Source organism: Homo sapiens, chromosome 19 (genome assembly GCF_000001405.40).
Source record: "Homo sapiens chromosome 19, GRCh38.p14 Primary Assembly".
NCBI lineage: Eukaryota > Metazoa > Chordata > Mammalia > Primates > Hominidae > Homo > Homo sapiens.
This window is the reverse complement of record NC_000019.10, coordinates 40,392,426-40,416,009: the sequence shown is the minus strand read 5'-3', so window position 1 is coordinate 40,416,009 and position 23,584 is coordinate 40,392,426. Positions and strand designations below refer to the sequence as shown.

Below are 23,584 nucleotides of genomic sequence, written 5' to 3'. Positions count from 1 at the left end.
ATGCCACTTCCTCCAGGAAGCCCTCCTTGATTTCTCTTCCTAGGCTGGGGCAGCCACCTTTTCTGGACTTCCCCATCAAGGCTTTGACCTCTCTGCCTATGATTGCCCCATCACAACCCTCCTCTTTCTGGGTTTGTTCCCTGCTGGACTGTGAATGGTGTGGATGCAGGCCTGAGCTGTCCCAGTCACACTGTGTCCCCAGCACCATCCAGCCTGGGACTGGACAGAAGACCAGGTGCTCACTGAATGTTTGCTGATGGTGAATGAAGACCCGCTCCATTTCTCACCTCTGGTCCTTTGCCCACATTTGTCCCTCTGCCTGGAACCCCCTTCCCTCCTTTTTTCCTTAGCTCCCTCCTCCTCAATCTTCCATTTTGACTTCCTTTTATTATTTATTATTATTTTCTTTTTGAGACAGAGTCTCGCTCTGTCACCCAGGCTGGAGTGCAATGGCGCAATCTTGCCTCACTGTAACCTCTGCCTCCTGGGTTTAAGCAATTCTCCTGCTCAGCCTCCCGAGTAGCTGGGATCACAGGTGCCCGCCACCACGCCTGGCTAATTCAGTTTGACTGCCGATATCACCTCCTGCAGGATCCTTTCCTGAGTTTGCCGCCTCCTCCCTGGGGTGGAGTTAGATCTGTTGATGTCCCCTGTGCCCAGCAAAAGACCTACCACTAAACAGGGCTTGTGAGTGTTTGTTGAATGAATATAGGAACAAAAGAATGTTTGCGTGAATCAATGAAGGAGAGAGACTGCAATGAAGTGAGGGTCTCCTCAGGCCCATCGGGAGCCCCGACCATACCATCCCTTCTACCCCTCCTGGGAGGAGGGCTCTGGCTGGCTTCTGGCCACACCCCAATGCTTGGTTGCTGCCAGGCCTGGAAGGCATTTCCCAGAGCTCAGCACATTCCTGCCTTCCCCGGTGGCTGAGAGTGGGCAGGGGGCATTTCAGAGAGAAGGGAGGGAGGCCCCCAGCATTCCGGGATCCTGCCATCCTGGCCTGGTCCCCCACGCCCTCTGAAGTAGGCCCCAACCCTCTGGTGTGAGATGGGGGACAGGTCTGCAGAGGGGCCACCCAGGCTGGTGTGAGGGGCGAGGGTGCCGACAGAGGCCAGGGCTTGGTGTCTGTGCCTGGCTGGACAATGGGGCAGAAGCTGCTGACATGCGCTTTGGGGGTAATCCCCCAGCCTCAGCCCAGCCCAGGCCTGGGGCCTGGGTTCAGAGAGCGACGAGCTTCCGAGGCAGCAGCCGGGTGGGTTCAAGTGGCATGTGGGGGTACCTGTGCTCCCTGTGCCGCCCCCCGGGGTCTGGTGAGTCAGGGCAGGCTGGGGGCTGGACCAGGGTCCAGGGGTTGGGGGTGAGGCCTGGTAGCTTTGGCTTGGGAGTCGGGCAGGTCTGGGTTCAACTCTGGACCCCTGCCAATGACCTGCTATGGTGATATTGGGAGAGTCACTTACCTTCTCTGAGCCTTCTGGTCTGCAAAGTGGAAGGGGCAGAAGAGTGTAGCAGGGTTTTTGTGGTCCAGGAGAACAGGGGTTGGACCTCAGCTTCACCACCTCCTGGCCACATAGCTATAAATTGGGCATAGCTGGACGCGGTGGCTCACGCCTGTAATCCCAGAACTTTGGGAGGCCGAAGTGGGAAGATCGCTTGAGCCCAGGAGTTCGAGACCAGCCTGGGCAACATGGTGAAACTTTGCCATTACAAAAAATACAAAAATTAGCTGGGCATGATGATGCATACCTGTGGTCCCAGCTATTTGAGGGGGCTCAGTCGGGAGGATTGCTTGAGCCCAGGAGGTGGAGGCTGCAGTGAGCCATGATCACACCACTGCACTCCAGCCTGGGCAACAGAGTGAGACCTTGTCTCAAAAAAAAGGGTGGGGAGCATAAGGAGCCCATTTTACACCCTTGATTCAAAAGCAGGGCTTCAGCACTGAGCATGGTACTTAGTATGTGATAGGTGTCCCCCTAAACAGTAACTCCATTAGACAGAGAACTGGGGGTCCCCTGTGCCCAGCCTTACTGAAAAGGGGCCAAAACCCCCCAGCAAGATGAGCCAGCCACCTAATTTGTGTGAAAAATAATACCAAATACTTATTAGTAACCCTCATTATGTGCCCGGCATTGTCTTACATTTTCAGTCTCTTTTAACTCGTTTAATCTTCACCACAGCCCCATAAGGTGGGTACTCTTACTATCCGCAAAGAGAAGCTGTGACTGGCAGCAGGTCACCCAGCGAGGAAGTGGTCGCGCTGCGATTTGAACCCAAGTTGACAGGGAGAGGGAGTGAAAGGAGTTTACAGTAGAGGCAGTTGGCCAGGCCCGGGTCCTGGAGCCAGGAAACAGTGGGGCTGGGGTGGGGTCCTGATTCTCCAAGTCGAGGAAGCCAACGTGCAAATCCTTGAAGCTGAGCTCATGGCAGAGATCTCGGCCCAGGCAAGAGAGAGGCGGCTGGTGGCTGTCCCGTGGCCCCCACCCCTTGGGGATAGATGTAGCTGGAGGAGGGGGATGTTTGTTTCTCCACCACCCACCCTCTGGTGACGTCACACCCCCGCAGCCAATGGCTGGGGTCTCTCTCTCCTCCCCCCTCCCCATTCCTTTTCCCCCCCAGCCTAGGGCTAGGGCTGACAGACGGGACCAGGAGCTCTCGAGGTGTCTGGAGGCTCAGCGGTAAGAGATCAGCCGGCCGGTCCCTTCCCTGGCCAGGCTGAGACACTGTGGGAATGAGGTTCAGGGTCCCGGGAGGTGCTGGGAGGGGGCCTGGGGGCTCAGGAAGCCGTGTGGTGTAGGTGTTAAAGGTATAGACTTTGGAGCTGGTGGTTCAAATCCCCTTTCCTCTCCTTTCTGGCTGTGCAGCCTTGGGCAAGATACTTCATCCTTTGTGCCTCTGTTTCCCCATCTCTAAAATGGGCTGATGTCTGGAGGCCACCTCACAGGGCTGGTGCCGAGTAAATGAGTTGCTGCTTTTAAAGAGCTAGGGCAGCCAGGCATGGTGGCTCATGCCTATAATCCCAGCACTTTGGGAGGCTGAGGCGGCAGGACTGCTTAAGCCCAGGAGTTCGAGACCAGCCTGGGCCACATAGAGAGGCCCCCATCTCTACAAAACAAAAAAAAATTTTTTTTAATTAGCTGGGCATGGTGGTGCATGCCTGTGGTTCCAGCTACTCTGGAGGCTGAGATGGGAGATTGGGTTGGGCCCAGGAGGTTGGGGCTGCAGTGAGCCGTGATCACACCTCTGCACTCCAGTCTCAGTGACAGAGGGAGACCCTGTCTCCAAAAAACAAACTAACAAACACCAGAGCTGGGGCAGGAGGCCTGGGGTGGGTCCCTGGAGTAGGGTGCTAGGGAGGCAGCATGGATCCTGTTGGGAGGCTGGTGCCTGAGCTGGGTTTTGTCTCTCAGCCAAAGCTCCCCTTTGGTAGCAGAGAAAGTGGGGGCCACTGAGGAGCAAAGGTTGGATGTGCAACACTGTGAGAAGCACAGCTCCCTCCCTCCATACTCTCCCTGTTGCTGTCAGAGACGAGTTTATATTAATCAAGCATTTACTATACAGGAGGGATATTCTAAGCACCTGCTGTTCTCTCACAAATCTTCAAAGCCTTTCTTATTGGCTCCATTTTACAGATGGAGAAACTGAGGCCCCAGAGATGAAGGATCTTGCCCAAGTCCTCACACCTGGGAAGTGCTGGAGCAGGGACTAACCGAGGCAGCCAGAGGCCACTGCCTTAACTCCCCCTGACCCCCTAGGTGGCCTCAGATAATGTTTAGAGGTCTGGATGAGTCAGCCCAACCCCTGACCCCCATTGCTATGAGAGATCACGCTGGTGGCGGGGGAAAGCTGAGGCTCTGAGCAGGCAGGGTTCCCAAGTGAAGTTGGTGGCAGTCACCAGGGAAAGAGGGCCAGAAGGGCAATGCCCTCAGCCGATCCCTCAGCAGCCTCCGAATGACAACCCCTCGCTCCCAGCTGCTCTGAAGGGCATAAGTCGCATCTGAAATGGATATCTCAGTTGTACCCACTCCAGGGAGATGTTACAAAGATTTAAGGAGCCAAGACAGGAAGGATCTTAGCACACAGTAGGTGCTCAAGAAATGGGGACCCTGGGGATTCTGAAAGTTCTGGCATATGCCAGGGTCATGCCACAGTAACTACCCAAGAAATAGGCTGCTGGCATCTGGAGTGTCTGCCTGGTCCCAGTGGATCTGCCTCTAACACAAGGCAGGGACCCTCCCCAGGAGCCTCCCCACCCCTCTTTCCCCTGCCTAGTGGGATAGGCAGAGCTGGGAACACAGAGTCCTCTCTGTGGGTTTCCTTCCGAAGCTGCCCCCACCTTACCCCAGGGGCTGGGTACGTGGCTCAGGAAGAGCACAGTTGGGCTAAATATAACCTGGGCTGGGTGCCTGTCCAGGCAGGGACGAAGAAGGAGGGCACTCTCTCTTGTCCCTGCCCCGCCTGAACTTCCTGTGCCAGGCTCCGGGCATGACCCTCACAGCCACGGGCCTGGGACAGAGAGCTGATGACCCAGGAGACCCCCTCTACTACCACCTACAAGGTTCAGGCTTCTCGTGTCCCCAGCTCAGGACTCTGTGCTGTGTATCAGTCCTGGGTAAGGGAACTGAGTTCGCTTTCACACCTGGGCTCAAGTCTCGACTCTGTCACTGTGATCACCGGTCTCTTAACTCTCATTGACTCATCAGTTAAATGGGGTCCCACAAGGTCAAGTATGTAAAGCGCCTGCCCGGTCCAGGCCCGGCACCTGGCCTGGGTGTGTTTCTAGCACCGTTGGCCCCCTCCTGCCCAACCCAGCTCCTGCCCCAGTGCGCAGAGCCACCAATGCAAATTAAGGTGAAGCAGGGGTGAAGGGCAGGCACGGGTCCTAGCTCTGCCCCTTTCTGGCTGGGTGACCCCTCTGTGAGCCTCAGTTTCCACCCCATAACAGCCACAACATCTAGGGTGATTTTGAGGCCTGTGGGTGCTAGCACAGGGCCCAATTCAGAGGAAATGCCCCAGACATGGCAGACAAGGTCTTAGTGCAGGGACCAGCTAATATTAATACTAACCACTCAATACCCATCAGTTGTTATTATGATTGTCCAGCTAAAGCGCTGGAGCTTTTTTTATTTTTATTTTTATTTTTTTGAGATGGAGTCTCGCTCTATCGCACAGGCTGGAGTGCAGTGGTGCATTCTCAGCTCACCACAACCTCCGCTTCCCAGGCTGAAGCGATTCTCCTGCCTCAGCCTCCCGAGTAGCTGGGATTACAGGCGCGCGCTGCCACGCCTGGCTAATTTTAGTATTTTTAGTAGAAACGGGGTTTCACCATATTGGCCAGACTGGTCTCGAACCCCTGACCTCGTGATCCACCCACCTCGGCCTCCTAAAGTGTTGGGATTACAGGCCTAAGCCACGCGCCCAGCCCGTGCTGGAGTTTTTAGACAAGTTCAAGTCCTGGCACAGCCTGGAAGGTGTAGGGGGCTCACAGGGGATCCCAGGGAAGGCCACAGAGACCAGGACCCCCTAGGAGATGCAGAGAGAAGCCCTCTTACACTGTGGGGGGCGTGGGTGCTGTGGGAGTGTTAAGGGGTCCCCATGTCCTCTCTCCTGGCCACTGATGGGCTATGAAAGGCCATTGTGTGGCCAGGGTGGGTGGGCAGGGGCGGAATGCAACTGAGCACAGCAGACGGGCCATTGTGTGAGGGAATGTGCCGCGTGAGGCCTGACCTTTCCCTGTGCAATAGGGGTTGGCGGGTTGGCATGCCAGGTGGGGGCTGTGAGGACAAGCCCAGAGTCGGGGGTTGGGGGAGAGAGTATTCATCTCCATTTCCCCAGATGGGCCTGGCGGGTGGCTGCATGTGAATTTCAGCTTTGCCTCCTTCTGGCTGTGCTATGAGGCCTTGAGCAAGTTCTTTTGGCCTCTCAGGAAATGGGGTTTTCCGAGGTGAAGTAGAAGGTGAAGGTCTTAGCACGGGGGCCAGCAAATACTAATCACTCAGTACCCATCAGGTATTATTACTACCCAGATAAAGGGCTGGAGCCTTCAGACAAATTCAAGTCCTGGCTCGACCATTTGTGACCTGGGCTAGTGACATCCCTTCCCCCAGCCTCAGGTGTCTCCTCTGTAATGGGCTCAGTAGTAGCTGATTGCACAAGGCTGTGCTGAGGGCCATGTGCAGTGGAGCATGTGGGGCGCTCGACACAAGGTCAGGGCCATAGGAAGTTCTTAGTAATAATAATGGCCTGACAGGTGCAGTGGCTCATGCCTGTAATCCCAGCACTTTGGGAGGCTGAGGCAGGTGGATCACCTGAGGTCAGGAGTTCCAGACCAGCCTGCCAACATGGTGAAACCCCATCTCTACTAAAAATACAAAAAGTAGCCAGGCGTGGTGGTGGGCACCTGTAATCCCAGCTACTTGGGAGGCTGAGGCAGGAGAATCACTTGAACCCAGGAGGCAGAGGTTGTAGTAAGCCGAATTCGCACCACTTCACTCCAGCTTGGACAACAGAGCGAGACTCTGTCTCAAAATAATAATAATAATAATAATAATAATAATAATAATAGCAAGTATTTATAAAGCACCTGCCAGGTGCCTGGCACTTTACACTTATTAACTCATTTGAGCCTCGGAACAGCCCTGCGAGGTAAAAGCTCTTATTCTCCACATTTTATAGACAACATAACTGAAGCACAGAGAGGAGCTGTGATTTGCTCACTGGGAGTACATGGGAGTGGCTATAATTATTTTATAGCATCAAGAGGCTGAGGCAGGAGGATAGCATGAGCCCAGGAGTTGGAGCTCAGTTTGGGCAACCTAGGGAGACTCCATCTCTACAAATTAATTTAAAAAATTAACCTGGTGTTGCCAGGTGTGGAGGCTCATGCCTGTAATTCCAGCACTTTGGGAGGCCAAGGTGGGCTGATCACTTGCAGTCAGGAGTTCAAGACCAGCCTGGCCAGCATGGTGAAACTCCGTCTCTACTAAAAATACAAGAAATAGCCGGGTATGGCGGTGCGTACCTGTAGTCCCAAGGTGCGTGCCTGTAGTCCCAACTACTCGGGAGGCTGAGGCGGGAGAATCACTTGAACCCAGGAGTTGGAGGCTGCAGTGAGCCAAGATCGCGCCATTGCACTCCAGCCTAGGTGACAGAGCAAAACTCTCTCTCTCACACACACACACACACACACACACACACACCACCAACAACAACAAAAACGTAGCCGGGTGTTGTGGCATGCACCTGTGGTCCCAGCTACTCGGGAGGCCAAGGTGGGAGGATCGCCTGAGCCCAGAGACCGAGGCAGCAGTGTGCCGTGATTGCACCACTGCACTCCAGCCTGGGCAATAGAGCTAGACCCTGTCTCAAATAGCAATTATTTTTTAGTGAATTTGGCCCCCTCAGTTGGCCAAGATCTTTGGCACGGGGGCTCTGCTGCCAGACAGGCCTCGGAGTCAGTTTTGGCTTTACCGTGTGTTGTCCAGCTGAGTCATCCTGGGTAAAGGTCTTCTGAGGCTCAGTTTCCCACCTGCACGACGGGGATAGGGTATCAGCAGAACGCAGCAGGGTCAGGCACTCAGGAAGTCATCGGTGGCTGTTAGCCAATAACACTGCTCACATTATTCTTCTTAGAGCGCCGGACCCAGGAGGCCCAAGGAGCTGGAGGTGACCCTCAGGTGAGCGCAGGCTGGTGCCATATGCCCCTCCCCACCCCTTCCTCGCCTGCCTGGAGCTTCACATCCTGGCCTTTCCCTGGCAGGCAGCAAGAACCCCACGGAAGGGCGTGAGCCCTGCAGACAGCTGTGCGGCACCTCGGGCTGGGCTCCTGTTAGGAGGAAGTGCCTGCACCCAGGCAGCGGTGAGAGGACAGCTGGGGTGGGGGCCCTTCTCCCCTTCTAATACCCACCCTGCTTTCTCCCTGTAAGCATGGCCTCCACCTCTCGTCCCCTACTGGCCTCAAGCCTCCACTGCTGTCCTCCCACAGGCTCAGAGGCAGCTGCTCCATGCAGAACTGAAGCTGGTTCTGCAGCAGAAAGGGGAGAGGACACAGGAGCCTGGGGTGCAGGTGCCTCCCAGCAACGCCATGGAGGCCAGGAGCCGGAGTGCCGAGGTGAGTGCCCACGTGTCCTGCAAGGCGCACTTGAGGGCAATGGGGAGGCACAGACTAGGGCAGCAAGGAGACACTTTCTGGCCTCTCTGTGCCTCATTCTCTCCATCTGTGAAATGGAAATAATAACAGGGTCTATTTTATGGGTCACTGTGAGGAGAAGAAAATTAACATATGTAATGTCCTTAGTGCAGCATCTGGCACAGGCTAAGACTCAAGGCAGTGAAATCACTGGCGCACAAAGGAGCTAAATTAATAAGGAGCTGAAGAAAATCCGGCAGAAACCCTTCATCAGAAGAGGCAGCATATGCCAGGTGCAGTGGCGCAGGCCTGGAATTCCAGCACTTTGGGAGGCCGAGGCAGGAGGATCGCTAAAGCCTAGGAGTTTGAGACAAGCCTGGGCAACATAGGAAGACCCTGTCTCTACCGGAAAAAAAAATGAGCCGGGTTTGGTGGTGCATTCCTGTAGTCCCAGCTACTCAGGAGGCTGAGGTGGGAGGATCACCTGAACCCAGGAGGTTGAGGTTGCAGTGAGATATGATTGAACCACTGCACGCCAGCCTGGGTGAAAGAGCAAGATCCTGTCTCATTAAGTCTCCTGTGTGGAAAGAATAAATGAGAAAAACAAAGAAAAAAAAAAAAAGACCCTGTCTAAACACACACACACACACACACACACACACACACACACACACAAGGGCATATAATGTAGGAGTTAAGGACATGGGCTTGGACCCATGGCTCAAATCCCAACCCTACCACTTCAGCTGTGTGGCCCTGGGCAGATGATCTCACCTCTTTCAGCCTCAGTTTCCCACTGAAATGGAGGTAATGGGGCTGGGCGCAGTGGCTCACACCTATAATCCCAGCACTTCGGGAGGCCAAGGCGGGCGGATCACTTGAGGTTAGGAGTTCGGGACCAGCCTGGCCAATACGGTGAAACCCCATCTCTGCTAAAAATACAAAAATTAGCCGGGCATGATGGTGCACACCTGTAGTCCCAGCTACTCGGGAGGCTGAGGCAGAAGAATTGCTTGAACCCAGGAAGCGGAGGTGGCAGTGAGCCGAGATCACACCATTGCATGCCAGCCTGAGGGTCACAGTGAGACTCTGTCTCAAAAAAAAAAAAAAAAAAAAGAAATGGAGGTAATGATCTCCACCTCTGAGAACTCCCGCTTGAGCCATTTGCACAGAGTCTGGTGCTGAGGAAGCCTCTTTGAATGACAGCTGCTGTCACTGTTACTGAGATGGTGGATTGGCATTGACCATGTCTTACTGTATACCAGGCACAGAGCGGGTCTACTGTTACAGGGGCCAAGCTGCTACTGGGGGCGAGAGGCAGTGGGTACAGCGCCAGGAGTTCTCTGCCCACAGGATGGCCTATGAGTTCTGGGGTCACAGACCTAAGGTTGAGGCCCAGCCGCTTAACTTGCTACAGGGCATTAGGCAAGTCACTTTACCTCTCTGGGCCTTAGTGTCCTCCTCTGTGACTGCCCAAGGCTATAGGGAGAGGATGAAATGAGATCCTGCAGACTGCATTCGATGGCTCACACCTGTAATCCCAACACTCTGGGAGGCTGAGGCCAGAGGATCCCTTGAGCCCAGGAGCTGGAGACCAGCCTGGGCAAAACAAGACTCCGACTCTTTTTTTTTTTTTTTTTGAGACGGATTCTTGGTCTTGTCACCCAGGCTGGAGTGCAGTGGTGCGATCTCAGCTCACTGCAACCTCCGCCTCCCAGGTTCAAGCAATTCTCCTGCCTCAGTCTCCCGAGTAGCTGGGATTACAGGCGCCCACCACCACGCCTGGCTAATTTTAGGACTTTTAGTAGAGATGGAGTTTCGCCATGTTGGCCAGGCTGGTCTTGAACTCCTGACCTCAGGTGATCCTCCCGCCTTGGCCTCCCAAAGTGCTGGGATTATAGGTGTGAGCTACCGCGCCTGGCCTGACTCCGACTCTTAAAAAAAAAAAAGAGGCCGGGCGCGGTGGCTCATGCCTGTCATCTCAGCACTCTGGGAAGCTGAGGCGGGTGGATCATGAAGTCAAGAGATCGAGACCATCCTGGCCAACATGGTGAAACTCTATCTCTACTAAGAATACAAAAATTAGCTGGGCGTGGTGGCGTGCACCTGTAATCCCAGCTACTCGGGAGGCTGAGGCAGGAGAATCGCTTGACCCGGGAGGTGGAGGTTGCAGTGAGCCAAGATTGTGCCACTGCACTCCCAGCCTGGGTGACAGAGCGAGACTCCGCCTCAAAAAAAAAAAAAAAAAAAAAAAAAAAAAAGAGATTCTGCACATAAAATGCTGAGCCCAGGGCCTGCTGAGCCAAAGGGCGGTACTGGTGGTCATGCTGTTCCCTACAGTCCCAGCCACAACTCTCCTTACCCAGACTGCCCTGCTCAGCCCCCTAGTCCCTTGGGGCCACTGCTGTGGGGCATCTGGCCTAGACCTGCTCTCCCTCCAAGTCCTGGGCTCAATTCCAGTCCGTGCTGGCCCCAGTGCGTTGGCCATGACAGTGTCCTCTCAGATCCCTACTGCAACCTCCTTCCAGTATGCCTATGTTACCCTATTTTGCAGCAGGGAAGTGGGTCCAGAGAGGGCAAGATTCTTCCTAAGACACACAGCAGATTGGATTCCTAGACAGGATCCAGGTTTGTCACTGCCTCTTCTGGGAAGCCCTATTGTGAATCCCATAGTGGCTTCTGGGCCAGGTCCAATCTGCATCATTTACAGTAAATACCGGGAATGCCATGTCTCCCAGTCCCATTCATTACCCACGCAGACCCCCTTCACTGGATTCCCTCTCCTGTGGGCGTTTCACAGGTCTTCGGGTCATTGAATTTACAATAGAGCACATTCTCACACACATTCAAGCCTGCAGGGAGGCAAATCCCACTCCCTGTCCCCCCAATCCCAGAGGGCTTGAAGGTCCAGCCAGCCCCTTCCTCAGAATCCCATCCTCAACTATTCTCTTGTTCTGCTGTAATTAAAGCCCCTCCCCCATAGTTAAATTCAGTTTGTAGAATATGGGTCTCCGGGCCAGATGCAGTGGCTCATGCCTGTAATCCCAGTGCTTTGGGAGGCTGAGACAGGAGGATCTCTTGAGGCCAGGAGTTTGAGACCAGCCTGGGCAACACAGTGATACCCCTGTCTCTTAAAAAAAAAATTAAAAATTAGCTGGGCGTGGTGGCGCGTGCCTATGTTCCCAACTACTTGGGAGACCGGAGCGGAAGGTCTGCTTGAGTTTAAGGAGGTGGAGGCTGCAGTGAGCCATGATCACACCACTGCACTCAAGCCTGGGGACAGAGTGAGAGACCCTGTCTCCCCCAACAAAAAAATAATAAGGGTCTCCGCCCCAGCTCCAAATAACCTCCCATAAACTCTGGCCACATTCCTCTCCTATCTTTTGCACCCTTCTATACCCCATTTGGCTCTTCCTCTCAGGCCTGTGTTGTCTTACCCCTCCTACCCGCACCAACCCCCCCCAGCCCCGCCCTCCCGACCTGACCACGCCCCCACGATCCTGGTCCCGCCTCTCAATCACAACTCAAGTTATCTCCAGCCCACTCCGACGCAGTCCCTCCCCTTACAACCCCGTCTCCTCCCCTAACCCCTTTCGGCTGCCGCTCCAGGGCCTCGGAGAGGCCAGCCGGCCCGCGGAGCTGTTTAACCGTTCCGCGGGTCCTAGAAAGCCAGCTGCCCTCAGGCTTGCTTAAAGGGGAGACGCCGGAGTGGGTGTGCCCCGACGTCCTGCGAGGGCAGCGCCGAGGGGCGTGTGCCCTGAAGGCCCGCTGAACAGCCGCTTTTGGCCGGGCGCGGTGGCTCACGCCTGTAATCCCAGCACTTTGGGAGGCCGAGGCGGGAGGATCCCTTGGGCCCAGGAGGAGTTCGAGACCAGCCTGGGCAGTGTGGCGAGACCGTCCCCCACCCCCGTCTCTAAATATATATAAACATATATATGTATATGAGCCACTGTTGAGCGCAATGGCGGGCTCTGGGCGAGGTCCGGCCCTAGAGCCCCAACGCGACACCTCGCCGCCCTCTGCAGGAGCTGAGGCGGGCGGAGTTGGTGGAAATTATCGTGGAGACGGAGGCGCAGACCGGGGTCAGCGGCATCAACGTAGCGGGCGGCGGCAAAGAGGGAATCTTCGTTCGGGAGCTGCGCGAGGACTCACCCGCCGCCAGGAGCCTCAGCCTGCAGGAAGGTGGGCGGGCCCGGGGTGTGGGGCGGGGTCGAACTGCGGGGGCGGGGTTAGGAATCTGCCTTGGGTCCAAAGAGAGGCTGAAACTGACCGGGGGATGGGGGCGTGACCGGCGACCAGGAGGGGTTAAGGGCTTGGGGCGGGGCTTTGCTGACTGTTCACAGCAAATTCCGGAGGTTCACTGTCTGGGTGCGAATTTCACATCCCCCGTTTACTAGCTTGTGATCTTTCTGTGCCTCAGTTTTCTCATCTCTGAAATGGGACTTATTCTAGTATGGGGTTATTATGTATTGAGGATTTAACGAGTCAGTATGTGAAAACACTTAGCACATAGCTAAGTGGCACATAGTGCTTAACTATGTGAGTGCTAGTAAATGTTTTTGTTGTTGGGGCAGGAGAAAAGGGTGGAGTGAGCCACTTAGAGGGGTTGGGAAGAGTAAAGGATGTTTTAGGATATGGATGAAGCTGACGTGATTTATTCATGCAACAACTATTTATTAGTGCCTTCTATTTCAGACTTTATTTATTTATGTATTTTGATACGGAGTTTCTCTCTTGTTGCCCAGGCTGGAGTGCAATGGCACGATCTCGGCTCACTGCCACCTCCGCCTCCCTGGTTCAAGCGATTCTCCTGCCTCAGCCTCCTGAGTAGCTGGGATTACAGGTCCCCTCCACCACGCCCGGCTAATTTTTGTATTTTTAGTAGAGACGGGGTTTCACTATGTTGGCCAGGCTGGTATCGAACTCCCGACCTCAGGTGATCCATCCGCCTCAGTCTCCCAAAGTGCTGGGATTACAGGCGTGAGCCACCGTGCCCCACCCTATGTCAGACATTATCTTAGCTGCTTGGGCTTCAGCCGTGAACAAAACTGAACAACAGTCCCTGCACTTATGGAGCTTACATTCCAGTGGGGAGAGATTTTTTTTTTTTTTTGAGACGGAGTCTCGCTCTGTTGCCCAGGCTGGAGTGCAGTGGCGCAATCTCGGCTCACTGCAAGCTCCGCCTCCCGGGTTCACACCATTCTCCTGCCTCAGCCTCCCTAGTAGCTGGGAGGGACTACAGGCGCCCACAACCACGCCCGGCTAATTTTTTGTATTTTTAGTAGAGACGAGGTTTCACCGTGTTAGCCAGGATGGTCTCGATCTCCTGACCTCGTGATCTGCCCGCCTCGGCCTCCCAAAGTGCTGGGATTACAGGTGTGAGCCACCGCGCCCAGCCGGGAGAGACATATTTAAGCAAATTAAGTAAAATACCTAGTAAATTAGAAAGCAGTAAGTGCTACAGTTGCCAGGAGGACAATGTGCTACAGCTGCATTTTTATTATTTTATTTTATTTTATTTATTTATTTATTTTGAGACGGAGTCTTGCTCTGTCTCCCAGGCTGGAGTGCAGTGGCACGATCTCGGCTCACTGCAAGCTCCGCCTCCCGTGTTCACGCCATTCTCCTGCCTCAGCCTCCCTAGTAACTGGGACTACAGGCACCCGCCACCATGCCCGGCTAATTTTTTTTGTATTTTTAGTAGAGACGGGGTTTCACCGTGTTAGCCAGGATGGTCTCCATCTTCTGACCTCGTGATCCGCCCTCCTCGGCCTCCCAAAGTGCTGGGATTACAGGCGTGAGCCACCGAGGCCGGCCTACAGCTGCATTTTTAAATGGGGGTGGGCTTGGCTGGGTGCATAATCCTAGCACTTTGGGAGGCTGAGGTGGGCTGATCACCTGAGGTCAGGAGTTCGAGGCCAGCCTGGCCAATATGGCGAAACTCTGTCTCTACTAAAAATTCAAAAATTAGCCGGGTGTGGTGGTAGGCGCCTATAATCCCAGCTACTCAGGAGACTGAGGCAGGAGAATTGCTTAAGGTTGCAGTAAGCCGAGTTCGCGCCACTTCACTCCAGCCTGGGCGAAAGAGCAAAACTCCGCCTAAAAAAAAAAAAAAAAAGGGGTGGGCTGGAAAGGGTGAAAAGGCTAAAGGAGGTAAGGGAACAAGCTATGAGGCCATCTGGAAGAGGGAACAGACAGCAAAAATGCCCCAAGGTGGGACCATGCCTAGCTTGTGGTAGAAACAGTGAGGAAGCCAGTGTCTACGCAATTGAGTTAGTGAAGAGGAGAGTAAGAGAGAAGGCCAGAGAGGTAAGGGGAGGACACTTTTTAGAGGGCTTTATAAGACTTTGGCTTTTATTCTGTGAGGGCTGTGAGCAGGGAGAAACGTGAATTGACTGTGCTGAACTGCTGCATTAACAGTAGAGTATGGCCAAGCATTGGGTGGCTCACACCTGTAATCCCAGCACTCGGGGAAGCCAAGGCGGGAGGATCGCTTGAGCCCAGGAGACTGAAGCTGCAATGAGCCATGATCACACCACTGCACTCCAGCTTGGGCAACAGAGCAAGATTCTGTTTCAAAAACAAGGCCAACAACAACAAACAGTAGAATATATGAAGGCAGGTTTAGGAGCAGGGAGATCAACAAACTGGCTACTGTGATTATCCAGGTAAGAGATGAGGATGCTCAGGACCAAAGGGTTTTGGAGGTATATATATATTTGGATTCTGAATATATTTTGAAGGAGGAGCTTTGAGGACTGGATATTGGGTATGATGGAAAGAGGGTTGTCCAGGATGGATCTGGGGATTTTTGACCTGAGGATGGAGTTGCTGGTCCCTCAAAAGGAGCACACTGAGGCTAGTACTAAGAAAGACCAGGAGTACAGTTTGGATCTGTTAAAGGAGAGGTGTGGTGTGGGACACCCAGGTGGAGATATGATGGAGATGTTGGATGTGAGTCTAGGGTGGAGGGGAGAGTGCTGGACTGGAGAGATATACTTGGGAATTGTTAGCAGATTTATGGTCTTTTAACTTCTCAATCTGGATGAACTTCCCAAGAATTCCCAAGGGGTGACTTGAGCATGTAGACAGAGAGGAGGTCCAAGTCCTGAGGTCTGGGGTAGTGTGTCTTTAAGAGGCCAGAGAGGCTGGGTGTGGTGGCACGGGCCTGCATTTGCAGGAGGATCGCTGGAGCCTGGAAGTTCAAGGCTGCAGTGATTTGTCATTGCACCAGTGTACCACAGCCTGGGTGAAGAGTGAGATCTTGTCTTTTTTTTTTTTTTTTTTTTTTTTTTGAGATGGAATTTCGCTCTTGTTGCCCAGGCTGGAGTGCAATGGCACGATCTCAGCTCACCGCAACCTCCGCCTCCCGGGTTCAAGTGATTCTCCTGCCTCGGCCTCCCTAGTAGCTGGGATTACAGACATGTGCCAACATGCCTGGCCAATTTTGTATTTTTAGTAGAGACAGGGTTTCTCCATATTGGTCAGGCTGGTCTCGAACTCCCGACCTCAGGTGATCCACCTGCCTCGGCCTCCCAAAGTGCTGGGATTACAGGCATGAGCCACCGCACCTGGCGAGATCTTGTCTTAAAAAAAAAAGAGGAGGGGCTGGGCACGGTGGCTCACGCCTGTAATGCCAGCACTTTAGGAGGCCAAGGCGGGCAGATCACCTGACGTCGGGAGTTCGAGACCAGCCTGACCAACATGGAGAAACCCCGTCTCTACTAAAAATACAAAATTAGCTGGGTGTGGTGGTGCATGCCTGTGGTCCCAGCTACTCAGGAGGCTGAGGCAGGAGGGTCGCTTGAACCCGGGAGGCAGAGGTTGCAGTGAGCCAAGATCGCGCCATTGCACTCCAGCCTGGGCAACAAGAGCAAAACTCCATCTAAAAAAGAAAAGAAAAGAAAAGAAAGACAGACAGACAGAAAGAAAGAAAGAGAAAGAAAGGAAAGAAAGCTGGGTGAAAGAAAGAAAGAAAGAAAAAGAAAGAAAGAAAGAAAGAAAGAAAGAAAGAAAGAAAGAAAGAAAGAAAGAAAGGAAAGAAAGCTGGGTGTAGTGGCTCACGCCTGTAATATCAGCATTTTGGGAGGCTGGGGTGGGAGGATCAGTTGAGCCTAGGAATTTGAGATTGGACTGGGCAACATAGTGAGACTGTTTAGAAAAGAAAGAAAGAAATCAGGGAGAGGGAAAGCAAACATCTATGGAGACTGACAAGGAACTCCCAGAGACGCTCCAGAGGGTGTAGCACCTTGGAAGCCAAGGGAAGCAAGGATATGACAGAGAGTGAGGTTAGATCAGATGCTGAGTGGTTTAAGCAGATGAGGCCTGGGACTTGACCCTTGGACTTACTATACAGAGGTCACTGCCTGGAACCTTGAGAGGAGCAGTTCAGATGTGCGTGTTGGAAAGCAGGGTCAGAGGTGTGACTGGAGAACTGGTAACAATGCCACTGGAGAACTCAATACCTTTTGCCTATTAAGGTGAACAGATAAATGGGGCAGGAGCTCCGGGGGAGTGAGGCCATGACAACCTTTCTTATGCGAGAAATAATAATATGTTTGTATGCTGATGGGAATAATGTAGACGAGAAGGACAACTGATGACGTGGGAAGAGGAGAGAATTGCTGGAGGATGTCCCTGAGAAGGCGGTGGAGAGATTGCCCTGAGCTAGGAGTGGGGTTAGTTCATCCCCAGGAACAGGAAGGCGAATGGAGTAAGTCGCCGCAGGAGAAAGGGGGTGAACACACAGTGTGGGAGATTCTGGAAGTTCCCTTCTGATTCTGTTCTCTCGGTAAAAGAAGCAAAGTCAGTATCTGAAACGTAAGGATGGGTAGGGGAGCGACAAGGTGCGGGCGTGGCCTGAGTGGGCGCGGCTTTGTTCATTGCAGGGGGCGGGGATAAGGTCATGGGGCGGGGACTAGCGTAACTGCGACTTAATCCTGCGCTGGGGATTGGAGAAACTAAAATTTGGGGCGGGTCCTCACCGCGAGGGCTCCGTGCAAGTGGGCAGAACTAGGCCCGGGCGGAGCCGGGAGATGCCCACGTGCTGCGCACCTCCACCTCGCCCGCAGGGGACCAGCTGCTGAGTGCCCGAGTGTTCTTCGAGAACTTCAAGTACGAGGACGCACTACGCCTGCTGCAATGCGCCGAGCCTTACAAAGTCTCCTTCTGCCTGAAGCGCACTGTGCCCACCGGGGACCTGGCTCTGCGGCCCGGGACCGTGTCTGGCTACGAGATCAAGGGCCCGCGGGCCAAGGTGGCCAAGCTGGTACGCGTGCTTAGCCCGGCCCCGGCCCTGGACTGCCCCAGCGATCCGGTCTCTGCGCCGTGAGCCCCATTCCCCGCCATCGTGGGCCAGCCTTGCCCTCTGTCTTGTCACTAACCCAAGCTAATTCCACCCTCTGCCCCTTCCTCTCTGCCCCAAACTCTTCCCCGGGAAGGGGGACAGACCCACCCCAGCCCAGGGCCCTCACCCACCTCGGAGAGGCGTCCCCACCATCGGATCCAGGCTTGCTAGGGGTCCTGAACCAGGCTACTTCGAACCAGGAAAGCCAGATTCCAGCCTGAGTGCTGGCCCAATTACTGCTGAGTGGCCCTGGACAAAGTTGTTTCTCTCCCTGGGCCTCAGTTTCCCCATCTCTAGAATGAGGATGTTGGGGAAAATCCCGGATCAGGATCTAGAAGTCTTGGGTCCCCGTCCCTACACTCCTGTTGACTCATTTGGAGATCCTAGATGGCTGCCTGCTTTCCTGGGCACTCATGGTGAAATGACAGGCAAGAAGTGGGGATGATGTTTGGGGAACAAGATACTTGACCCAGCACATCCCCCGCCTGGTCCAATACCAGGTGGGGCTCTTCCTGTCCACTCCCAGCCTCCCACTGTCCCACCGCCTCCTGCCTCTCTCCTCTCTCCCCAGAACATCCAGAGTCTGTCCCCTGTGAAGAAGAAGAAGATGGTGCCTGGGGCTCTGGGGGTCCCCGCTGACCTGGCCCCTGTTGACGTCGAGTTCTCCTTTCCCAAGTTCTCCCGCCTGCGTCGGGGCCTCAAAGCCGAGGCTGTCAAGGGTCCTGTCCCGGCTGCCCCTGCCCGCCGGCGCCTCCAGCTGCCTCGGCTGCGTGTACGAGAAGTGGCCGAAGAGGCTCAGGCAGCCCGGCTGGCCGCCGCCGCTCCTCCCCCCAGGAAAGCCAAGGTGGAGGCTGAGGTGGCTGCAGGAGCTCGTTTCACAGCCCCTCAGGTGGAGCTGGTTGGGCCGCGGCTGCCAGGGGCGGAGGTGGGTGTCCCCCAGGTCTCAGCCCCCAAGGCTGCCCCCTCAGCAGAGGCAGCTGGTGGCTTTGCCCTCCACCTGCCAACCCTTGGGCTCGGAGCCCCGGCTCCGCCTGCTGTGGAGGCCCCAGCCGTGGGAATCCAGGTCCCCCAGGTGGAGCTGCCTGCCTTGCCCTCACTGCCCACTCTGCCCACACTTCCCTGCCTAGAGACCCGGGAAGGGGCTGTGTCGGTAGTGGTGCCCACCCTGGATGTGGCAGCACCGACTGTGGGGGTGGACCTGGCCTTGCCGGGTGCAGAGGTGGAGGCCCGGGGAGAGGCACCTGAGGTGGCCCTGAAGATGCCCCGCCTTAGTTTTCCCCGATTTGGGGCTCGAGCAAAGGAAGTTGCTGAGGCCAAGGTAGCCAAGGTCAGCCCTGAGGCCAGGGTGAAAGGTCCCAGACTTCGAATGCCCACCTTTGGGCTTTCCCTCTTGGAGCCCCGGCCCGCTGCTCCTGAAGTTGTAGAGAGCAAGCTGAAGCTGCCCACCATCAAGATGCCCTCCCTTGGCATCGGAGTGTCAGGGCCCGAGGTCAAGGTGCCCAAGGGACCTGAAGTGAAGCTCCCCAAGGCTCCTGAGGTCAAGCTTCCAAAAGTGCCCGAGGCAGCCCTTCCAGAGGTTCGACTCCCAGAGGTGGAGCTCCCCAAGGTGTCAGAGATGAAACTCCCAAAGGTGCCAGAGATGGCTGTGCCGGAGGTGCGGCTTCCAGAGGTAGAGCTGCCCAAAGTGTCAGAGATGAAACTCCCAAAGGTGCCAGAGATGGCTGTGCCGGAGGTGCGGCTTCCAGAGGTACAGCTGCTGAAAGTGTCGGAGATGAAACTCCCAAAGGTGCCAGAGATGGCTGTGCCGGAGGTGCGGCTTCCAGAGGTACAGCTGCCGAAAGTGTCAGAGATGAAACTCCCAGAGGTGTCAGAGGTGGCTGTGCCAGAGGTGCGGCTTCCAGAGGTGCAGCTGCCGAAAGTGCCAGAGATGAAAGTCCCTGAGATGAAGCTTCCAAAGGTGCCTGAGATGAAACTTCCTGAGATGAAACTCCCTGAAGTGCAACTCCCGAAGGTGCCCGAGATGGCCGTGCCCGATGTGCACCTCCCAGAAGTGCAGCTTCCAAAAGTCCCAGAGATGAAGCTCCCTGAGATGAAACTCCCTGAGGTGAAACTCCCGAAGGTGCCCGAGATGGCTGTGCCCGATGTGCACCTCCCGGAAGTGCAGCTCCCGAAAGTCCCAGAGATGAAACTCCCTAAAATGCCTGAGATGGCTGTGCCAGAGGTTCGACTCCCCGAGGTGCAGCTGCCAAAAGTCTCAGAGATGAAACTCCCCAAGGTGCCTGAAATGGCCGTGCCCGATGTGCACCTCCCAGAGGTGCAGCTGCCCAAAGTCTGTGAAATGAAAGTCCCTGACATGAAGCTCCCAGAGATAAAACTCCCCAAGGTGCCTGAGATGGCTGTGCCCGATGTGCACCTCCCCGAGGTGCAGCTGCCGAAAGTGTCAGAGATTCGGCTGCCGGAAATGCAAGTGCCGAAGGTTCCCGACGTGCATCTTCCGAAGGCACCAGAGGTGAAGCTGCCCAGGGCTCCGGAGGTGCAGCTAAAGGCCACCAAGGCAGAACAGGCAGAAGGGATGGAATTTGGCTTCAAGATGCCCAAGATGACCATGCCCAAGCTAGGGAGGGCAGAGTCCCCATCACGTGGCAAGCCAGGCGAGGCGGGTGCTGAGGTCTCAGGGAAGCTGGTAACACTTCCCTGTCTGCAGCCAGAGGTGGATGGTGAGGCTCATGTGGGTGTCCCCTCTCTCACTCTGCCTTCAGTGGAGCTAGACCTGCCAGGAGCACTTGGCCTGCAGGGGCAGGTCCCAGCCGCTAAAATGGGCAAGGGAGAGCGGGTGGAGGGCCCTGAGGTGGCAGCAGGGGTCAGGGAAGTGGGCTTCCGAGTGCCCTCTGTTGAAATTGTCACCCCACAGCTGCCCGCCGTGGAAATTGAGGAAGGGCGGCTGGAGATGATAGAGACAAAAGTCAAGCCCTCTTCCAAGTTCTCCTTACCTAAGTTTGGACTCTCGGGGCCAAAGGTGGCTAAGGCAGAGGCTGAGGGGGCTGGGCGAGCTACCAAGCTGAAGGTATCCAAATTTGCCATCTCACTCCCCAAGGCTCGGGTGGGGGCTGAGGCTGAGGCCAAAGGGGCTGGGGAGGCAGGCCTGCTGCCTGCCCTCGATCTGTCCATCCCACAGCTCAGCCTGGATGCCCACCTGCCCTCAGGCAAGGTAGAGGTGGCAGGGGCCGACCTCAAGTTCAAGGGGCCCAGGTTTGCTCTCCCCAAGTTTGGGGTCAGAGGCCGGGACACTGAGGCAGCAGAACTAGTGCCAGGGGTGGCTGAGTTGGAGGGCAAGGGCTGGGGCTGGGATGGGAGGGTGAAGATGCCCAAGCTGAAGATGCCTTCCTTTGGGCTGGCTCGAGGGAAGGAAGCAGAAGTTCAAGGTGATCGTGCCAGCCCGGGGGAAAAGGCTGAGTCCACCGCTGTGCAGCTTAAGATCCCCGAGGTGGAGCTGGTCACGCTGGGCGCCCAGGAGGAAGGGAGGGCAGAGGGGGCTGTGGCCGTCAGTGGAATGCAGCTGTCAGGCCTGAAGGTGTCCACAGCCGGGCAGGTGGTCACTGAGGGCCATGACGCGGGGCTGAGGATGCCTCCGCTGGGCATCTCCCTGCCACAGGTGGAGCTGACCGGCTTTGGGGAGGCAGGTACCCCAGGGCAGCAGGCTCAGAGTACAGTCCCTTCAGCAGAGGGCACAGCAGGCTACAGGGTTCAGGTGCCCCAGGTGACCCTGTCTCTGCCTGGAGCCCAGGTTGCAGGTGGTGAGCTGCTGGTGGGTGAGGGTGTCTTTAAGATGCCCACCGTGACAGTGCCCCAGCTTGAGCTGGACGTGGGGCTAAGCCGAGAGGCACAGGCGGGCGAGGCGGCCACAGGCGAGGGTGGGCTGAGGCTGAAGTTGCCCACACTGGGGGCCAGAGCTAGGGTGGGGGGCGAGGGTGCTGAGGAGCAGCCCCCAGGGGCCGAGCGTACCTTCTGCCTCTCACTGCCCGACGTGGAGCTCTCGCCATCCGGGGGCAACCATGCCGAGTACCAGGTGGCAGAGGGGGAGGGAGAGGCCGGACACAAGCTCAAGGTACGGCTGCCCCGGTTTGGCCTGGTGCGGGCCAAGGAGGGGGCCGAGGAGGGTGAGAAGGCCAAGAGCCCCAAACTCAGGCTGCCCCGAGTGGGCTTCAGCCAAAGTGAGATGGTCACTGGGGAAGGGTCCCCCAGCCCCGAGGAGGAGGAGGAGGAGGAGGAAGAGGGCAGTGGGGAAGGGGCCTCGGGTCGCCGGGGCCGGGTCCGGGTCCGCTTGCCACGTGTAGGCCTGGCGGCCCCTTCTAAAGCCTCTCGGGGGCAGGAGGGCGATGCAGCCCCCAAGTCCCCCGTCAGAGAGAAGTCACCCAAGTTCCGCTTCCCCAGGGTGTCCCTAAGCCCCAAGGCCCGGAGTGGGAGTGGGGACCAGGAAGAGGGTGGATTGCGGGTGCGGCTGCCCAGCGTGGGGTTTTCAGAGACAGGGGCTCCAGGCCCGGCCAGGATGGAGGGGGCTCAGGCTGCGGCTGTCTGAAGCCCCTAGTCAGATGGGGATCCCTTCTTGCCTTCCTTTCTCTACCCCCTCGCTGTTGTGTGTGTGATAACTAGCACTAACCCTAAGAGGGCCGGGAGGTGGGTGACTGACCAGGGCTGGCAGGGAGGCCTGCTCCTGTCTCTCTGGCAGGAGTGCCTGTACCCCACCAAGCCATGTGAATAAAATAATCTGGAAGTAGCCATGTATTTGTCTCCTCTGTGTGCATAGGGGGCAGGGAGGGGCAGGAGTGGGTATAGGGGAGATGCAGAGAAGGCAGTCTCCAAAGAGGAGGTTCTAGGGGTCGCCTGAGCCTGGCCTGAGGGGAACCTCTGGTGTGAGGGGAGAAACCGGTCATACCTGGTCTGAGAAGAGTCAGGGCGGGTTGGGCGCAGTGGCTCATGCCTGTAAGCCCAGCACTTGGGAGGCCAAAGCAGGAGGACTGCTTGAGCCCAGGAGTTTAAGACCAGCCTGGGAAACATAGGGAAACCTCATCCCTACAAAAAATACAAAAAATATCCAGGCATGGTGGCCCGTGCCTGTAATCCCAGCTACTCGGGGGGCTGAGGTGGGAGGATCACTTGAGCCCGGGAGGTCGAGGCTGCAGTGAGCCTTGATGGTGCCCCTGCACTCCAGCCTAGGCAACAGAGCCAGACTGTTTCAACAAAAACAAAAACAAAGACTCAGGATGGCCTTGGGACAGGCCGTGGTGGGAAGGGAGACGTCCCTAGCCCTTGAGAATTCCCAGGGGTTGTTAAAGAGGACTCTGGGATGTTCCCTGGCAGAGCACAGCTTCGGGACCCCTCTGCCAGGAAGCCTGCCTGTCCTGGGGGACCCACTCCTACCAGGCTGGTTGCTCCCCACCTGCCCTCTGCCGGTGAGGGCACTTCTGCACATCCTGGCCTTCTCTTTCCTGTCTGGCTGGTTTGACTGCCCTGTCCACTCTGGCCCCACCCAGGAAGGCTGCTCCTGGTCCCCTCAAAGCCTCTACCCCAGAAACACAGCCGCCTCTTGGAACTAGGTCCCAGGGTCCTCAGCACCTGTCAGTGCTGGTCTCAGCTCCCAGGGGCCATGGGCCATCCATCCCTGCCATCCCAATTCAGGATCTAAGTCCTGAGGCTCCCAGCAGGGCCTCCAGCCTCCTCCATGTCTCTCTGTGATGTCCCACACTGGACTAAGGAGACTCAATATCCAGTCCCAAGTCTCGCCCCGACAGCCCCCCACTCTCCTCACATCTCCCTATCCTGTCTCAGTGGATGAGGGGCCTGGCAGAATCCCCCACTCACTTGAGTACCTTGTCCCTTCCAGCCAGCCCTCCTCAGGTCACTGTCTCACCACACACTTTTTCTTTGCCCCCACCAAACATGGCAGGAGTTATCTACACTCACAGTGCACCCCCATTTCCAAGACCCCAGCATTTGGGGTTTTCCTCCTACCTTGTCTGTGTCAGCAGTGACCTCCCCGTGGCCACGCCTGAGGGTTTCCTTTGTCTCTCTTGTCCTGACTCTTCAAGGCCCCTTCGATCTTCCTGACACTTGCTCCT

General features: G+C 56.0%; 1 protein-coding gene across 4 annotated transcripts, besides 9 other annotated features; it reads left to right on the top strand.

Moving 5' to 3' along the window:
• Positions 1,174-1,822: an enhancer, noted in NCBI's record as "H3K27ac-H3K4me1 hESC enhancer chr19:40920095-40920743 (GRCh37/hg19 assembly coordinates)". NCBI's record gives its function as "activates a minimal SCP1, AML or CMV promoter by ChIP-STARR-seq in naive H9 embryonic stem cells {active_cell/tissue: H9 hESC(naive)}" and the evidence as "EXISTENCE:reporter gene assay evidence [ECO:0000049][PMID:30033119]".
• Positions 1,221-22,246, top strand: PRX (periaxin). Of its 4 annotated transcripts, none has more exons than NM_001411127.1 (7): positions 1,221-1,310; positions 7,627-7,670; positions 7,754-7,852; positions 7,979-8,104; positions 12,148-12,304; positions 17,194-17,390; positions 18,040-22,242. In NM_001411127.1, exons 1-7 carry the CDS (start codon positions 1,268-1,270, stop codon positions 22,042-22,044), a joined length of 4,671 nt encoding a protein of 1,556 aa, NP_001398056.1. In that variant the 5' UTR covers positions 1,221-1,267; the 3' UTR covers positions 22,045-22,242. The 4 variants fall into 4 exon arrangements, with proteins under 4 accessions (NP_001398056.1, NP_870998.2, NP_066007.1 ...); NM_181882.3 differs by lacking the exon at positions 1,221-1,310 and adding an exon at positions 2,632-2,672; NM_020956.2 differs by lacking the exon at positions 1,221-1,310 and adding an exon at positions 2,646-2,672 and having other exon boundaries at positions 17,194-22,246.
• Positions 5,339-5,930: an enhancer, noted in NCBI's record as "H3K27ac-H3K4me1 hESC enhancer chr19:40915987-40916578 (GRCh37/hg19 assembly coordinates)". NCBI's record gives its function as "activates a minimal SCP1, AML or CMV promoter by ChIP-STARR-seq in primed H9 embryonic stem cells {active_cell/tissue: H9 hESC(primed)}" and the evidence as "EXISTENCE:reporter gene assay evidence [ECO:0000049][PMID:30033119]".
• Positions 5,339-6,012: a biological region, named in NCBI's record as "H3K27ac-H3K4me1 hESC enhancer GRCh37_chr19:40915987-40916578".
• Positions 5,843-6,012: an enhancer, noted in NCBI's record as "active region_14652". NCBI's record gives its function as "activates an Ori minimal core promoter by ATAC-STARR-seq in GM12878 lymphoblastoid cells {active_cell/tissue: GM12878}" and the evidence as "EXISTENCE:reporter gene assay evidence [ECO:0000049][PMID:35858748]".
• Positions 5,931-6,524: an enhancer, noted in NCBI's record as "H3K27ac-H3K4me1 hESC enhancer chr19:40915393-40915986 (GRCh37/hg19 assembly coordinates)". NCBI's record gives its function as "activates a minimal SCP1, AML or CMV promoter by ChIP-STARR-seq in primed H9 embryonic stem cells {active_cell/tissue: H9 hESC(primed)}" and the evidence as "EXISTENCE:reporter gene assay evidence [ECO:0000049][PMID:30033119]".
• Positions 7,751-7,880: an enhancer, noted in NCBI's record as "active region_14651". NCBI's record gives its function as "activates an Ori minimal core promoter by ATAC-STARR-seq in GM12878 lymphoblastoid cells {active_cell/tissue: GM12878}" and the evidence as "EXISTENCE:reporter gene assay evidence [ECO:0000049][PMID:35858748]".
• Positions 11,361-11,410: a silencer, noted in NCBI's record as "silent region_10622". NCBI's record gives its function as "represses an Ori minimal core promoter by ATAC-STARR-seq in GM12878 lymphoblastoid cells {active_cell/tissue: GM12878}" and the evidence as "EXISTENCE:reporter gene assay evidence [ECO:0000049][PMID:35858748]".
• Positions 12,061-12,280: an enhancer, noted in NCBI's record as "active region_14650". NCBI's record gives its function as "activates an Ori minimal core promoter by ATAC-STARR-seq in GM12878 lymphoblastoid cells {active_cell/tissue: GM12878}" and the evidence as "EXISTENCE:reporter gene assay evidence [ECO:0000049][PMID:35858748]".
• Positions 12,321-12,490: a silencer, noted in NCBI's record as "silent region_10621". NCBI's record gives its function as "represses an Ori minimal core promoter by ATAC-STARR-seq in GM12878 lymphoblastoid cells {active_cell/tissue: GM12878}" and the evidence as "EXISTENCE:reporter gene assay evidence [ECO:0000049][PMID:35858748]".

Bases quoted from the DNA above. Each gene is read 5' to 3' on its own strand.
- PRX (NM_001411127.1), top strand. From the start codon at position 1,268: ATGTGGGGGTACCTGTGCTCCCTGTGCCGCCCCCCGGGGTCTG. The intron at 12,305-17,193 runs GTGGGCGGGCCC...CCTCGCCCGCAG, and splicing joins GAGCCTCAGCCTGCAGGAAG to GGGACCAGCTGCTGAGTGCC. The intron at 17,391-18,039 runs GTACGCGTGCTT...CTCTCTCCCCAG, and splicing joins GGGCCAAGGTGGCCAAGCTG to AACATCCAGAGTCTGTCCCC.